This window comes from Homo sapiens, chromosome 9 (assembly GCF_000001405.40).
Source record: "Homo sapiens chromosome 9, GRCh38.p14 Primary Assembly".
NCBI classification, from domain to species: Eukaryota; Metazoa; Chordata; class Mammalia; order Primates; family Hominidae; genus Homo; species Homo sapiens.
This window is the reverse complement of record NC_000009.12, coordinates 95,327,098-95,345,001: the sequence shown is the minus strand read 5'-3', so window position 1 is coordinate 95,345,001 and position 17,904 is coordinate 95,327,098. Positions and strand designations below refer to the sequence as shown.

At 44.0% G+C, this 17,904-nt stretch overlaps 2 annotated features.

Moving 5' to 3' along the window:
• Positions 2,206-2,707: an enhancer, noted in NCBI's record as "H3K4me1 hESC enhancer chr9:98104577-98105078 (GRCh37/hg19 assembly coordinates)". NCBI's record gives its function as "activates a minimal SCP1, AML or CMV promoter by ChIP-STARR-seq in primed H9 embryonic stem cells {active_cell/tissue: H9 hESC(primed)}" and the evidence as "EXISTENCE:reporter gene assay evidence [ECO:0000049][PMID:30033119]".
• Positions 2,994-3,495: an enhancer, noted in NCBI's record as "OCT4 hESC enhancer chr9:98103789-98104290 (GRCh37/hg19 assembly coordinates)". NCBI's record gives its function as "activates a minimal SCP1, AML or CMV promoter by ChIP-STARR-seq in naive H9 embryonic stem cells {active_cell/tissue: H9 hESC(naive)}" and the evidence as "EXISTENCE:reporter gene assay evidence [ECO:0000049][PMID:30033119]".

The window sequence follows — 17,904 nt, the reverse complement described above, 5'->3', positions numbered from 1 at the left end:
ACCAGAAAGACCAAGGCAGGGGTAGGATTGGGACTTTCAGCACCACCCCCTGACTTCTGGGGAGGGGAGAGGGACACCTCCCACAAAGTTGAGTCAATCACCAGTGGCCAATGATGTAATCAATCATGGTTACATAACGAAGCTTCCATAAAAACCCAGTATGACAGGGTTTGGAGAGCCTCCTGATAGCTGAACACATGGAGGTTCTTGGAGGTTGGTGCACTTGGGGAGGGCATAGAAGCTCTTTGTCTCTTTCCACATACCTTGCCCTAAGCATCCTTCATCTGCATCTTTTGTAATATCCTTTGTTAAAAAAGAAAAAAAAAAAAACTGGTGACGGCGGGGCATGGTGGCTCACACTTATGATCCCAGCACTTTGGGAGGCCAAAGCAGGTGGATCACTTGAGGTCAGGAGTTCGAGACCAGCGTGGTCAAAATGGTAAAACACCGCCTATACTAAAAATACAAAAAATAAAAAATAAAAAAAAAAGCCTGGTTGTGGTGGTACATGCCTGTAATCCCAGCTACTCAGGAGGCTGAGGTGGGAGGATCGCTTGAACCTGGGAGACGGAGGCTGCAGTGAGCGGAGATCATGCCACTGCACTCCAGCCTGGGAGATAGAGTGAGACCCCATCTCAAAAACACAAACAAATAAAAAACTGGTAACATGTTTCCTTGAGTTTTGTGAGCTGCTCTCACAAATTAATCAAGCCCAGAAAGGGAGCCATGGGAACCCCAATTTGGAACTGGTCCGAAGTTCCGGAGTAGAAGGGGGGTCTTAACGGGACAGAGTTCTCAACCTGTGGGATCTGAGGCTATCTATCTCCAGGAAGATAATATCAGAATTGAGTTATAGGACACCCAGCTGGTGTCTTCTGCAGAACTGATGACTAGCTTGATGTGTAGCGGCAACCCCACACGACTGATCACGGAAGTATCCTGTGTTGATTGTTGTCATAGGAGAGCAGAGGAAACACAGTTTGTGGGCTTTTTGGTTTTGTTTTATTTGGAATTAACAGACTCCTACTTTTGAACTGTGCAACACTGAGCAGATCATTTCTACTCTGTAAGCATCTGTTTCATAGTCTGTCAATGGGAATGAGTATTGCCCTCACCACAGAGATTAAAACATGAGATAAAGTGAGACAGTGTATGTGAGAGTTATTTCTAAACCACAGGGATTATCTGCAGAGATTACCTTGTTATTAAGCTCCTGGACCAGACTGAAGTCCAACATATAATAGTGGAATTGGGGTTTGGGGATGGGGAGTCTAAAACGAGGAGGAAGGAAGTAGGGGCCCACCTCTGTGATCCTGCCCATTAACTGGTCCTTCTGACCTTGCTCAAAATGTCCCTCCCCAAGGTGCTCCCACCACAGAGCTGGCTCAGTGCTTCCCACAAACAGGGCAGAATGCCTAGAATAGGGGCCACACACACAAATAACTTTCAGGGCTCAGTCACATAGCAGATATGGCAAGATTGAAAGGTTTATGTCATAGTATAGCTTGTGAATGCAGAGAAAATGGGTATCTTAGCTGGGTTACCCACAAATGGACCTTGAGATGAGCTTTTGTGTGCAAGGCATTTATTGAGGAGGGGCTCCCTAAGGAAATCAGTCAGGAGATAGAGGGAAAAGGATGGGAAGGGGATGAAACAAAGCAACAGAACAATTTCAGAGTCTGCAGCCTGCAGGCTCCAGGAGCCCAGTTTTCCAAAGCAAGTCACAGCAGGGCCTGAGCCTCAGAACAAAAGCACACAGAAGCTAAAAGAGGGGGCATCTGACACAATTCGTGTAAAATGTTTAACAGGAGTGAGGACATACCACCAAATTAATGCATCTTCTTTATTTTGACTCAGTTTAATCTGATCTTCGTCATGAGCCTCCACCCATTGGTTCAATGGCACAGGGGTGGAAAGGGAGTTAAAAAATTAACTATTAGTTCTATCTGGTTTAAAGATTGTAGCATGTTCCCTTAATCTCATCAGTGTCTTTAGTTATTGCTCAGTCTTCTCATAGATACAAATATTCCCTTTCTCAGTTATCCTTCATCCCCCTTGCTCTCTGTCCGAGGCGGTATCTTGAGAGAAGGGGAGTAGAGTGTGCCTCACACAGGTCCTGTGGTGACGCAGAAGGGCTGGGTCTCCGCGGAGGCACCTTCCACTTCTTGGCCTCTGGGGAGGGGCCCTGCCCTGACTGTTTGCAGGCTGCCTGGATGTCCCCGACCCGTGCTCGGTCTGTCAGTTTGGTCCCAGTCTGGGGTCACCCTCTCTGACTTGTCATCACGTTGGCCTCCACTGGCTGTAGACACAGGGCCTGTTCTATGTATCCGTTCCATCTTCCTGCCCAGCAGTTACAGGTCCATTTTCTGTCGACTCACTCCGACCATCAACTTTCGATTCACCAGTTTGCTGTGGGGAACCCCAGATTGTAGCAAAATACCTGTAACATAAAATTAGTCATTTTAACCATTTTAAGTGTGCAATTTGGTAGCATTATTAGATTCACAGTGTTGTACAACCATCACCACTACCTATTTCTAAAAATTTTCAACTCCCCAAATAGAAATTTCCCTAGTTACCTCCTTCCCCCCAGCACCCGGTCACCACTAATCTACTTCCTGTCTCTATGAGCTTGCCTATTCTAGATGTTTCATATAAAAGGAGTCAAAAATTTGTCATTTTTGTATCTGGCTCATTTCACTTATAATGTTTTCACAATTCATCCATGTAGCATGTATCAGAATTTTGTTCTTCTTGATATGTCAACTTAAAATCATTTCTTCTTCTTCTTCTTATTATTATTATTTGAGACAGAGTCTCACTCTGTCACCCAGGCTGGAGTGCAGTGGCATGATCTTGGCTCACTGCAACCCCCACCTTCCGGGTTCAAGCCATTCTCTTGCCTCAGCCTCCCAAGTAGCTGGGATTACAGGCATGCTCCACCATGCCCAGCGAATTTTTATATTTTTAGTAGAGATGGGGTTTCACCATGTTGGTCAGGCTGGTCTCAAACTCCTGACCTCAAGTGATCCTCCCACCCCAGCCTCCCAAAGTGCTGGGATTACAGGCTTGAGCCACTGCACCTGGCCTAAAATCACATATCCTAAAATTTGGGAAGGAGACTTTCTTATAAAGGCTTACAGTGTGCGAAGTGGTCATTCTGACAGGCTGGGAAGGGTGCCCTCTGGCTGAGATTGTTAGCAGGCACTTTGAAGAAGGAGGGGCTGGGGCAGGAACATTATGCTGAACTGGTTGGTTAAACATACATATTCAACAGGCCACAAGATGAGCTATGAATATTCATGAGGGGAGTCACACCTGTATGTGATAAGCAAACATGCATGTTACATGTGACCTGTGTTCATTTTGGGGTGGAGACTTAATGTTCAAATGCATTACAATTAGTCCCTATATATCAGAAAGTGAAGCAGGGACAGGATGGCACTCACGTGTGCAGCCTCTGTAAACCGGCCAGAACCAAGCCATGGCTGGTGGTCTTCTTATCAGGAGAAAGTTACTAAAATTGGTCTCTTGTCCAGTCACAGCTGTGGTTCTGGCTGGTGGAATGGGAGAGTGGGTGTGGGACTGGGACTTTGGCGGTCATTGCCTGGCTGTCAGCTGTGGATGAGCTGCAAATTGTTTTAATATTGCTTATTTCAAGGCCAGTGCTTGTTTAACTGCTAGAGAAAAAGAAAAGAATTCATGGCCGTTAGAATATAGTTTATTTTTTAAGTGTAGGGGTGAGTGATTTAACCCTCACCTGGCATGGCCTTAGATCCTGCTTATAATTTGGTTCCTTATACCACAGAGAGTCCATTCTGTCAGTCTTATGAGCTCCATTTTCACGTGAATGCTGGTCAGTTGTGTCTAAATTGCACAAGGCGGGGGTGTATAACGAGGCATGGCCAACCTCCCATCCCTTCATGGCAGGGAACTCGGTTTTTAAGATTTCTCTGGGGTGCCTTTGGCCAAGAGGGGATCAGTTCAGTTGGTTGGGGAGCTTAGGATTTTATTTTTCCTTTACATATGGTTGAATTATATTCCATTGTATGTATATACCATATTTAATTTATCTATTCACCTGTGAGTAGAAACAAAGGTTGTTGCCATCTTTTGGCTAATGTGAATAATGATGCAATAAACCTTAATGTTTGAGTCCCTATGTCTAATTATTTTGAGTGTATACCTAGGAGTGAAACTGCTGGGTCATATGGTAACTCTATGTTTAGCTTTTAGAGGAATTGCCAGACTGCTTTTCACAGCATCTGAACAACTTTATATTCCTACCAGCAATGTATGAGGTTCTGATTTCTCCACATTTTTACCAATACTGTTATTTTGGTTATAGCCATTCTAATAGGTGTGAAGTGGTATCTTACTGTGGGTTTTTCTTTTTCTTTTCTTCCTCTGCTTTTTTTTTTTTTTTTCTTTTTTTTTGAGACAGGGTCTCACTCTGTCACCCAGGCTGGAGTGTAGTGGCACAAATACTGCTCACTGCAGCCTCAGCCTCCTGGGCTCCAGCAATCCTTCCACTTCGACCTCCCCAAGTACTGGGATTATAGGTGTGAGCCTCCTCACCTGACCTCATTACAGTTTTGATATGCATTTCCATAATGATTAGTGATGTTGAGAATCTTTTCATGTGGTCATTGTCCATTTGTATATCTTTGTAGAAATGTCTATTTATGCCCTTTGCACATTTTAAAATTGAGTTGTTTATCTTTTTTGTCAGAGACAGATTTTTTTTCTTTTTTTTTTGAGACGGAGTCTCGCTCTGTCGCCCAGGCTGGAGTGCAGTGGCGCGATCTCGGCTCACTGCAAGCTCCGCCTCCCGGGTTCACGCCGTTCTCCTGCCTCAGCCTCTCGTGTAGCTGGGACTACAGGCGCCCGCCACCACGCCCGGCTAATTTTTTGTATTTTTAGTACAGACAGCGTTTCACCGTGTTAGCCAGGATGGTCTCGATCTCCTGCTCTCGTGATCCGCCTGCCTCGGCCTCCCAAAGTGCTGGGATTACAGGCGTGAGCCACTGTGCCCGGCCATGTATACATATTTCAAAGCAATATGTTATACACGATAAATAGGCACAACTTCTATTTGTCAATTAAAAAATGCATTTAAAAATTTTAAAAAGAGGCTGGGCGAAGTGCCTCACACCTGTAATCCCTACACTTCGACAGGCCAAAGTGGGAGGATTGCTTGAGCCCAGGAGGTCGAGGCTGCAGTGAGGTATGATTTCACCACTGCACTCTGACCTGGGCAACCAGAGTGAGACCTTATCTCTTTTATTTTTTATTTTTTAAATTTATTTATTTATTTTTTTGAGACGGAGTCTCACTCTGTCGCCCAGGCTGAAGTGCAATGGCGCGATCTCCGCTGACTGCAAGCTCCGCCTCCCAGGTTCACACCATTCTCCTGCCTCAGCCTCCCGAGTAGCTGGGACTACAGGCGCCGGCCACCGCGCCTGGCTAATTTTTTGTATTTTTAGTAGAGACGGAGTTTCACTGTGTTTGCCAGGATGGACTGGATCTCCTGACCTCATGATCCACCCGCCTCGGCCTCCCAAAGTGCTGGGATTTAAGAGACCTTGTCTCTTAAAAAAAGTTAAAAAAAAAAAACCCCAAAAAACTAAATTTATTTGTTTGCCACGGTTTGGAGCATTAAAACGACCAGTAGCCTTAGAGTTACAAGGTGGTTCAAGATCTGGTTTTGCAACCCACGAGTTGCTATGGTCTGAATGTTTAAGTCCTCACAAACTTCGTGTGTTAAAATCTTTACCTGCGAGGTGATGGTATTAGGGGGTGAAGCCCTTGGGAGGCAATTAGGTCATGAGAGCAGAGCCCTCATTAATGGGATTAGTGACCTTAATGAAACAGGCCTAAAAGAGAGCCCTTGCCCCTTCCACCATGTGAGGTTAGAGTGAGAAGACAACCATCTATGAGGATGCAGGGCCCTTGACAGATGCAATGAACCTGCTGTTGCCTTGGTCTTGGACTTCCTAGCATACAGAACTGTGAGAAATAGATTTCTATTGTTTATAACTACCCCTCCCTCACCAAAAAAGAAGATGATAAATACATTCAGCTGCATTTTCTTGTCCTGAACCTGGAGAAGTTACCTCATTTTTTTCGCTGGGTATTCTTTTGTAATCGAAATCTCCTTCCACTCATTTTAAAGAATGCCTCTGAGATTTGGAAAGGCAAAAGAGAAATCATGTTAATAATTTTCAAAATGCTATTTCCATGATATGTGAAATTGTTATGGGCTCTTCGGGGTGTCGTTTTTCTGGCCAGAAGCCTCTGTGGCCTGTGGCACCTTTGCTTGAGTTTTGCTTGGGCCTGCTGGGCTCGTTTTGCCCACTCAGCCTGGCAGGCTGTGCTCAGCTCACGCTACTGGCCTGGATGCCATGCCTGCCAAGGGTGAGTCAGGTGTGGAAGGGTGAGGGGTGTGTAAGTGAACGTGGGATCTTGCCACCGCACACAGACATGCCAGCTGCTATAGCTGGTTGGTCAGCTCCAGGTGCCAGCATGGGTGCTGGTTCTCTGCAAGGCTGCAGCCAGACTGGCACTGGGGAACATGTTGGCGCCTGGAAGCTTGGAGACAACAGGGACCGCAGGGCCCCAAAGAGGGAGTCACAGCCTTGGCTTGGGAAGCTCCTAGGTCTGGGATCCTGGAAGGGCCACAGCGACCCTTTGTTCCTTCTCTTCCCCCACAATGTGGTGAAGAAGGGGCATGTCTCAGTCCTGTTTGTGTTACAGCTCTTTTAGTCTTGCCATTTGGTGGGTCCCAAGTTCTTGTCCTGTGACCAGGAAGAATGAGGTATACAGACAAGTGGAGGGTGACCAAGACGAAGAGGAGCTTTATTGAGTGCTAGAACAGCTCAGAGAAAACCTGCAGGGGCAGCTCCTTTCACAGCCAAGGGGTCCTGATGAGTGTTCAGCTCCTAGTACAGAGAGTAGCTCCTCTCTGCTAGGCAAGTCATCCCAACAAGTGTTCAGTTATCAGCAGAGAGGGTAGCACCTCTCTGCAGCTGGTCATCCTGTTCTCTGCGTGGCTCTCAGCAGAGAGGAGGCCCTAGAGTGGGTGGCACCTCTTTGCAGCTGGTTGTCCCAATGTCTGCTGCTCTCAGCAGAGAGAAGGCCATGGAGTGGATAGCTTTCCTCTACCACTGGTTGTCCTGACATCTGCTCAGCTCTGGCTGAGCCTGGGGCTTTTATGGGCCTCAGAGGGGAAGAAGTACACCCTTGTTGGTCCATGGGTGGCCATGGGTGGCCCAGAAAAGGCACCACAAATTCCCACTCTGGTCCATGGGACTGGCAGCCCGGTCCCCAACCTTCAGGCCCTTCCTGGCCTGAAGGTGGGGCCTCATCAGGGACCCACCCCCTTTTGCAGGGAAGCCTGTCTGCTTCCTGCTGCTGTTCATGGTGCCTAGGCTGTAGGTGCCAAGGGGCACCTGCAGGCCAGCACCAAGCTGCCCTCAGCCCTACCTCAACTTCCTTCCTATGCTTGTTGGCACCCAAAGCCTGGTGGGGGCTGAGGTGGCAGGGGGCTGGCATGTCAATACTGTCCCAAGTGTGTGCACACCTGGCTGGGGTGCAACAGTGCCTGGGCTTGGCCTCTACTTTGCTCCCAGATTGGAGTGGGCGCCGACAGCAGGGAGAAGCCACACAGCGGGAGCAGGCCCTTCCAAGCCTGCAAGGACAGGGCCTTCCCAGACTCCCAAGAGTGCAGGGATGCCTGGTTCCTTGCTCCCTGGAGTGGAAGGCCGGGTCTGCAGCTGGGGTTTGGGTGGCTGCAGCTGTGCCCTGGAGGGTGGGCATCCTGCCTGCTCCAGTCCCTGAGAGCACAGGAATGCCTGGGTCTGCAGCCGTGACCTGGGTAGCTGCAGGGGCACCTGGGGAGCTCCTGCCCCAACTCAGAAGGGTGGGGCTCCTGCTTGTCCCTGGCTGTCACCAGCTCCACGGAGCATGCAGCCCCTGTCGCATCTCCCTGTTCCAGCCAGTGTGATGGCAGTGGTGGCTCCAGATGGCCCGCTGCTGCCATCAATATAAATGAAGTAGGCTTGGTCTTAGTGGTATGTGGAGGGGCAGGTGAAAGGTAGTTAGCTATGAGCTTCATCTATAGCAGTACTTCTCAAATTTTCATGTATATCCAAATCACCTGAGAATGTTGCTAAAATGCAGATTCTGGCTCAGGAGAGCTTTTAACAAACTCCCGATTAATGCCAATGCTGCTGGTCTGTAGACTATACTTTGATGTGCAACGTCTTAGAGGATAATTTATACATTAAAAATACGTAGTAAAAATGCCCTCAAACAGTTCCTGGGCCAAATTTGGGTTTAGCAAGCAGTTTCCACATTTGAAAAATGAGGTGATAATGTTAGGATATCGCTAAGGAGAATTTCTAAAGGGTGTCTAGCATAGGGGTCTCAAACTCAAATACTTACAGGGGCCAGACTAGGGCTGGGTGAAGACCGTGAAGCTGGAGAGCCTCTGCCTGCCTGCAGGGGGCACTGCCACAGAACTCTAGCTCATGGTTACCAGGCAGAAATGCTGGCACAGGGTGCCCATATTAGCCAATTTTTTAAGATAAGTGAAATCAAAGGATTTTATGTGAAATTCTCTGATTTCTAAATGTTTTCAATTAACTTTTTTCTCAAACACTCTTCAAGCTAAACAAAACAAGTCCGTTGGCCAGATGCAAACTGCAGGGTGTCTGCTTACTCTCTCTGGTCCAGTATTTTGCTAGGCCCTTGATAGATATAAAAGAAGAGGACATGGGTTCAGCTCTTGAGATGAGCATAGCTTTGTTGGGAGCTAAGATATTTGGATAGGAAATAGCCAGGGAGCAATTCAAAGGCATGTGTTTGTAAATGAGAAAAAAGAAATCCAGGCCATCTAAAGGAGCTGTGAAGTAAAGCCGGGATGACTTCGGATACTATCCCATAGCTGAATCTTGTGATTTGTAGAAGTGCCCTATGTTTGGGAAATATCCTGTTTACTTAATCTTAGTGGGTTAATTAGTGCTGATAAACAGTGTAGTTATTTCTGCTCAGTACCAACTTTGATAGTTAAGCAGGTAATAGTTATTTGATACAAATCTGTTCAAAGAAATAAATTGATCTGCAAATATTAGTGGAATCTGTCATTAAACACTATAAGAAACAGAGAGCCTTTGAAGAAAGTAGATTTCCTAAAAGTCATATGAAATAAATTACCTTCAATACTATGGAAACAATATGCAGAGCATTATGCATCATTATGTGAAAATAGAGTCATGAAAATGTATTTAAATAAATAAATGGGATGTGGTAAGCTGAATAATAGTCCCCCAAAGTTATCCATGTCGTAGTCCCTGGAGTTGGTGAATTTGTTACCTTACATGGTAAAAGAGACATCATAGATGTGATGGAGTTAAGGATCTTGAGATGGAGAGACTATCCTGGAATTTCTGGGAGGGCCCAATACATTCACGAGGGAGAAGCAGTGTGGTCAGAGAGGGAGACACCGGAGGATGGGGCCAGGGCCAAGGAATGCAGGCAGCCGCCAGAACTAAGAAAGGTGAGGAAACAGATTCTTGCCTAGGACCTCCACGAAGAACAAACCCCAGCTGACACTTTGATTTCAGTCCACTGAAACTGACCTGAGACTTCTAACCTCTAGAAGTATAAAATAATAAATTTATGTTGTTTTAAAGACTAAATTACAACATAATGGGGTTGGTAACAAACCAACCCCATAATGAGATGGGTGATTTGTTACAGTAGCAATAGGGAACTAACACAGATGGCAAAGATACAGAGGCAGGAATCATGAAAATACTTCTAAGTTTCGAGTTTCCAATATAAACAAAAGGAAGTTTTTTTGGTTTGTTTGTTTTTTTTAGACGGAGTCTCACTCTGTCGCCCAGGCTGGAGTGCAGTGGTGTGATCTCAGCTCACTGCAACCTCTGCCTCCCGGGTTCAAGCAATTCTCCTGCCTCAGCCTCCTGAGTAGCTAGGATTAAAGGCATGCACCAACATGCCCAGCTAATTTTTGTATTTTTAGTAGAGACGGGTTTCACCACATTGGCCAGGCTGGTCTGGAACTCCTGACTTCATTATCTGCCTGCCCTGGCCTCCCAAAGTGCTGGCATTACAGGTGTGAGCCACCACACCCAGCCCAAGGAAGTTGTTTCCTATTAAAGCTATTCTGTCACTTGCTGTCCTGAAATTTTTAGTAAACAGATTTCTTCTTCTTCTTCTTTTTCTTTTTTTTTTTTTTCTTGAGATGGAGTCTCACTCTTGTCCCCCACGCTGGAGTGCAGTGGTGTGATCTTGGCTCACTGCAACCTCCGCCTCCCGGGTTCAAGCAATTCCCCTGCCTCAGCCCCCCGAGTAGCTGGTATTACAGGCGCCTGCCACCATGCCCGGCTAATTTTTGTATTTTTAGCAGAGATGGGGTTTCACCATGTTGGCCAGGCTGGTCTCAAACTCCTGACCTCAGGTGATCCGCCCTCCTCAGCCTCCCAAAGTGTTGGGATTACAGGCGTGAGCCACCAAGCCTGGCCTGGTAAACAGATTTCTTCTAATACATTGATTGACTTTATTGACATGTGCAACATGACAGTGACACTTTTATTACACTTACATGTGGTGAAATTATGTCAGAGAAACAAAATCAAATGAGATAATAAGCATAAAGTGCCTGACACAATGCCTGACACATAGTAGGTGCTTATTAAATGTTAATTTCTTCCACTTGTCCTTATAGATCATGGATTTTAAGGTATGCAAGTAAATATATATGCATGTTGATATTATGTTTGAAGGTTGTTCCTTTATCGTGTAACACTTATTTTATTGTATGACTTGGGTGTACTAAAACCTTAATTTAGCACATTAATATTATACATAAAATAATGAAACTAGGCTTGGAAAATATTAGACAATTAAAGAGTCAATCTGAAACAGACACAAGAATGGGATGAAATTTACTTATTTTTGACTAAACGGTTGCCAGAATTAATGAAATCACAAATGTGCATAATTTCCTTTTCAATTTGAATTTTTAAGTGCTTATTGTTAGCAGTTCTTTAATATTAATTTCATGCTAAATGAATCATTATGAAATACTTATGAGGGAAACTATTTTTAAGACGTGCTCCTTTAAAAATGTAACTTATTACTTTCTGCAGGCAATAAAAATGTGTTACATTAGTTATAACACATCTTACTTGGTGGGATGCATGTGCTGAATAAGAACGCATTTTTTACTGAACTAAAGAAAATTGGACTAAAACTGGCTTAAGGTTCTTTTGAAATAGTGTATCATTGCTCAATGGAAAAATGACAGATTTTTATTAATGACAGATTTTTATTTTCTGGGAATTCTGTCAGATTGCACAAGGATAGTTTTTTCTCCATTCCACAACATTCACGGAATTTTAGTAAGCAGATAAGAGAGTTTACTCTTCTTGCCTCTTGGTCTAGTTTAGGTCCTCCCATAGCCTCTTTTTTAGAATGAAACTTGCTACTTTCTTGAGCTTACCTCATTTTGACAACTATGTATCTATTGATTTATGCTTCAGGAAGAGCACACTTCAATAAATTAAAGGAAAATTCCCTTCACTCTGCTAAACTTCACAAGGGCATAGAACATGTTTTTTTTCTTCTTTTTTTTCATCCCATTAACCCCAGACCCTACTATAGTGCTTTGGTTGAGTTCTGTTGCCAGCCACAGAGACCTGAAATAACAGTAATTTAAACAAAATAGAAATTTGTTTGTCTTTATTATGTGAAAGAAAAATCTTGGTGAGAGGTGAAGTCAGCTGGACTTCCTGGGTGGAGTGAGGACTTGGAGAACTTTTCTGTCTTACAAGAAGACTGTAAAACGCACCAATCAGCACTCTGTAGCTAGGCTTGTAAAATGCACCAGTCAGCACTCTGTAGCTAGCAAGAGGACTGTGAAATGCACCAATCAGTGCTCTGTAAAATGCACCAATCAGTGCTCTGTAAAACACACCAGTCAGCACTCTGTAAAATGCACCAGTCAGCAGGATCCTAGAAATGTCCAATTGCCGGGAGGATTGAAAAAAGGGCACTCTCATAGGACATAAAGGGAAACATGGGAGAGGGCAAATAAGGGAATAAAAGCTGGCCACCACCCCCCCCAACCCCCAGCCAGCAGTGGCAACCTGCTGAGGTCATCTTCCATGCTGTGGAAGCTTTGTCCTTTTGCTCTTTCCAATAAACCTTGCTACTGCTCACTCTTTGGGTCCACACCATCTTTAAGAGCTGTAACATTCACTGCGAAGGGCTGTGGCTCCATTCTTGAAGTCAGTGAGATCACAAATTCAACAGCAGGAGGAGACCCAACTCCGGAAACATTGAGGTCCCAAAATCACTAAGCTAAAGGGAAGAGTCAAGCTGGGAACTGCTTAGGACAAACTTGCTACTCATTCTATTTTGCCCCTCTGCTCACTGAGATAAATGCATATCTGCTTGCCTCCTTTGGAGACGACAATCAGAAACTCAAAAGAATGCACCTGGCTGGACACAGTGGCTCACGCCAGTCATCTCAGCACTTTGGGAGGCTGAGTGGGCGATCACTTGTGGTTGCGAGTTCAAGATCAGCCCAGCTATGGCCAACGTGGTGAGACCCCACTCCACCAAAAACACAAAAATTAGCTGGGCGTAGTGGTGGGCGCCTGTAACTCCAGCTACTTGGGAAGCTGAGGCAGGAGAGTCACTTGAACTTGGGGGGTGGAGGTTGCAGTGAGCCGAGATTGTGCCACTGCACTCCAGCCTGGGCAACGAAGTGAGACGCCATCTCAGAAAAAAAAAAAAAAAAAAAAAAAGCACCCATTTGTCTCTTATCTACCTATGACCTGGAAGACTCCCTGCCTGCTTCGAGTTGTCCCACCTTTTTCCAGACCAAACCAATATTCATTCCACATATGTTGATTGCTGTCTCCATGTCTCCCTGAAATGTATAAAACCAAACCGTGCTCTGACCACCTGGGGCACATGTCGTGAGGACCACCTGAGGCTGTGTCATGGGTGCGTATCCTCAACCTTGGCAAAATAAATTTTCCAAATTAACTGAGACCCTGTCTCAGATATTTGGGGTTCACATTTTGGTAACCACAGAGGGATTCTGAGTGCAGATGCCCTGCTCGTGACCTTTGACAAATCTCCTATTGGTGTTTGGTACCAGCATGAGCCAACTTTATGGTTCAAATCAACAGGACAATTTGCTGAGGTCTGGGAGCACCCCCCTCCAGAGAATCCCTGGTCTCCCGAAATTTGGTTGTGATCTAAAGTTTATTTTTATTTTGCTATACAATTATCTCTCTCTCTCCTTTTTTTTTTTTTTTAAGAGTTTTACTTGCTTCCAACAAGGAAGGCAAGATTTCCTGCTTCCATGATGATGGAAGGCAGGTAACTCCTTTATGAAGTCTGAGTTCACTCGCAGCAGGGAAGAAGAATTTCAGTTTTCTTTCCCTGCTTCTGGGACGGTTGAAGGCAGTCATCAGCCTGAGACCTGTCTCTAGGTAGGTATCTGAATTGGGGTTTTGGCTTGGCTAAAGTTCAGCAACCACCTGGCCTTAATTACTCCTTACCATTAGAGTGCTCAGTGATCATATTGTTGGGTTTGTTGTTGTTGTTGTTTGTTCCGGTTTTTCTCCCATCAGATTTGACCAACTCTACCTAGTGAGGTCAAATCCTAGTGAGAATTCTAAATTATGGGTAACAAACCCTCTCTAATTTGGCTAAAATTCCTTGCAGCTGCAAAAGGGGGAGAAAAAAGCAAAAATCCATGCTTGCGTTTGCTTCCTGTCTTAAATCCAAAAACAAATTTCTTTTGTTTACTTTTCTTCCAACCTGTACTTCCTTCCCCCTTTGCTGTCTGCAGTACCAAAAAAAGTCTAGAAAAGGCTTCTAATGACTTGAACCCCTTTAAAGAATTCAGAACAAAGGTGTCACTCAGCCCTTTTGGGCTGTTCTATTTTCTATGTGGAGTTTAAAGAGTCATGGGCAGATTCTTCTTAGGTCTAGAGCTCTGTTTTCCTCTATTGCATGGCCTGGCCTCTTTAGCTTTGGGGGTACCAGAGATGACCTTGTACTGTGAGAGGATTTGACCTTGGTGTGTGTAACGGCGGACGAGAGCTACAAAGTAGGGGTGGCTGAACACAGTTTACAGGAAGTGGTCTTAGCTGTTGTTTTTTATTTCTCTCCTAGAAAGGTGTTTAAGGACCCTAATTCTAATTAGGAGATATATTCTAAAGGGTCTTCTCTATTGCTTTTTCTCTCAAAATTAATCCTGATTCAGCTTGTCTATACGAATTTGCGTGAGGAACTGAACTGTTGTTTTCATAGGTAAATGAGAGATTGAGTTTTCTTTAGTTCCAAAGAGAAAGGGCATTTGCTCCTCCCAGCTGAAAGGTGCCCCAGGTGATGGAGAGGGGGGCCTCGTAGAAGTATCTGGGGGATTGATCCCCTGTGATGTGCAGTGGCCCTACAGGGAAATCCCCCACAAAAATTAATTTTTAAAAAAAGGCCTGTCCGGGAAACACATATAAGGGCTGATCATCCAGCATTTTGATCCCTCTCAGAGGTCAGGGATGTCTGGAGAGAGAAATCGAGACACGTGAAAGGGTGGAAACAACTCTGTGGTTACACACTGTGGAGTCCTGTCCACAAGCAGCGTATATAAATCCACCAGGCAAAAACCTAGCCTGCAGCTCACAGCTCAGTTACTCCTTTTAAGAAAAGAAGTGGGAAACAATAAGAATTAGGAGAAAACGAGGAGAATGACCCCCTTTCGAGCACTTTGTAGATTTTATGGCACCCCTACTTGCCACAGTTTATGTAAAATGGAACTAATATGGTCTCTATGCACAATTACATTAAGGAAAAAAAAGCCCCTAAGGTCGATCTGCAAACTATAGTGTTCCTAAATTCTTTTTTCCTCTATTTTATTTTCTGCCTGCTTTAAATCTGCTGTTATTTTTCTATTAAGATAAAAACCACTGGCTGGGCCCAGTGGCTCATGCTTGTAATCCCAGCACTTTGGGAGGCCGAGGTGGACGGATCACAAGGTTAGGAGATCGAGACCATCCTGGCTAACACAGTGAAACCCCGTCTCTACTAAAAATACAAAAAATTAGCCGGGCGTGGTGGCGGGCGCCTGTAGTCCCAGCTACTCCGGGAGGCTGAGGCAGGAGAATGGCATGAACCCAGGAGGCAGAGCTTGCAGTGAGCCAAGACTGCGCCACTGCACTGCAGCCTGGGGGACAGAGCGAGACTCTATCTCAAAAAATAAAATAAAACCACTGTTTGAATCCAACAGGTTTTTTGTTTGCAAGCCAGTGAATTTGTATTTAACTCATGGCCAAAAGTTCTGAAGTAAAAGCTATAGGGTGTGTGTGTGTGTGTGTGTGTGTCGGTGTGTGTGTGTATTTAAAAGACCTTTATGATTTCTATAATTTTATGTTTAATTGGCAATTAAATCCACTTTAATTTCCCTCTAGCGCACCAGACTTTTTCTCCTTGTACAATATGATGTAAATCTTGCTATTTGATTTTCACCTGAGTTGGCCCCTTTAATATGAAAATTTAAGGCTATTTAGCTGACAACTGGCTAGGGTAGTGAAAACAGGCTATCAAGAATTTGAAGGCTGGGCTCAGTGGCTCATGCCTGTAATTCCAGCACTTTGAGAGGCCGAGGTGGGCGGATCACCTGAGGTCAGGAGTCCAAGACCAGCCTGACCAACATGGGAAAACCCCACCTCTACTAAAAATGCAAAAATTAGCCAGTCATCGTGGTGTGCGCCTGTAATCCCAGCTACTCAAGAGGCTGAGGCAGGAGAATCGTTTGAACCTGGGAGGCAGAGGTTGCAGTGGGCTGAGATTGTGCCACTGCACTCCAGCCTGAGTGACACAGCGAGACTCTGTCTCAAAAAAAAAAAAAGAAAAAAGAAAAGAAAAAAGAATTTGAAAGTCTAAGATAGGAAAAAAAAAGCTCTTAAGAATCTATGAGATGTACTTCTATCAGCATGCCTAACACATCTCTGTATTTATGTGTTGTGTACACAATGTTTCACTACTGAAAATATATAAAGGAACTCCAATTAATTGGCTTAAGAAAGTAAAGGTGGTTGAACCAAATACTTTCTCAGGAAAAAAGACTAGTCAAATGCTTTTTCAAGTTTACATAAGTAAAATCTTTTCATAAATAAACTAGCTTTGAAATTATTGGTGAAGTAATGTTAGAAATGGGAATTGCCAGCATACATTTTTGTTTGCATTTGTTAATCAAGAAATTTCATGCTTATCCCTGCCAAATACTATAGGGTGTCAAAATTTGGCATAGGGGCTACAAAATTACAGATCCAGACCAAGACAGAATGATCTTTGCTTATGTAATTTTTTTTTTTTTTGAGACAGAGTCTTTCTTTGTCACCCAGTTTGGAGTGCAGTGGCTTGATCTCGGCTCACTGCAACCTCCACTTCCCAGGCTCAAGCGATTCTCCTGCCTCAGCCTCCCAAGTAGCTGGGATTACAGGCACCTGCCACCACACCCAGCTAATTTTTGTATTTTTAGTAGAGACAGAGTTTCACCATGTTGGCCAAGCTGGTCTTGAACTCCTGACTTCCAGTGATCCGCCTGCCTCGGCCTCCAACTGGGATTACAGGCGTGAGCCACTGCACCTGGCTGTAATTTTAATAAATAAGACATAAATATAGGTCTAATGAAAATAGTTACATCTTAAATTTAGTAAGATTACCATAACTTCTAATCTTGTGACTTTAGGCAGTCTAGCCCACAAGCAGTAAGGTTTGTTTTGGGAAAGGACTGTTATCGTCTTTGTTTCAAAGCTAAACTGTAAACTAAGTTACTCCCAAAGTTAGTTCAGCCTATACCCAGGAATAAACAAGAACAGCTTGGAGGTTAGAAGCAAGATGGAGTCAGTTAGGTCATATCTTTTTCATTGTCTTAGTTATAATTTTGCAATGGTGGTTCCATAACTTTAAAAGAAGACTATTGTAGTTTTCATAAATATCTAGGTAAATGATTAAAATACAATAATTAACCAAATGTAATGGGATAAATACTTGTAGACAAACTCATCATAATTTAGAAGCTAAAGTTATATTAAAGTAAATAATAGATATGTCATTATTTGGGTATTTTCCAATAAAACTATATTATAGGAAAACATTATTTCAAAAAAGTGTGTCTTTTTTAAAAAGGTGAACAATTTTTGTCTAATTCAAACCTTATATAAATGTTATATATAAAACAAGGTAAAAGGAGCCAGGAAATAAGAGAGATGAAATGAAAGTTATAAAAATAAAGAGGTTTTTTTTTTTTTTTTGTAAGAAAGCTTAAAGAGAAATAATTTTACATTAGACAGAATCTTGTATGGTCAATTTAGTCCTAAAATAAAATGACTGGTTGTTTAACAAACAGGGATGTTCAGGACAAACCAGAAAGTCCAAGCATGTCATGAATAGTCTGTGTAAGTCACAATAAGATGATTTATTTAAAAAACCCCCAAAACTTTTATATGATCAAATTGTCTATTAATTAAAGGGAAATTGTAGTGGTCTTTCTACAGATGGGGCTTGATGTAAAAAAACCACTTATACACTAAACAATTGGTTAGAGCAATGAATTTTTTTTTTTTCAGATGGAGTGTTGCTCTGTTGCCAGGCTGGAGTGCAGTGGCACAATCTCAGCTCACTGCAACCTCCACCTCCCAGGTTCAAGCGATTCTCCTGCCTCAGCCTCCCTAGTAGCTGGGACTACAGGCATGCACCACCATGCCCGGCGAATTTTTTGTATTTTTAGTAGAGAGGGGTTTCACCATGCTGGCCAGGCTGGTCTCAAACTCCTGACCTCATGATCTGCCTATGTTG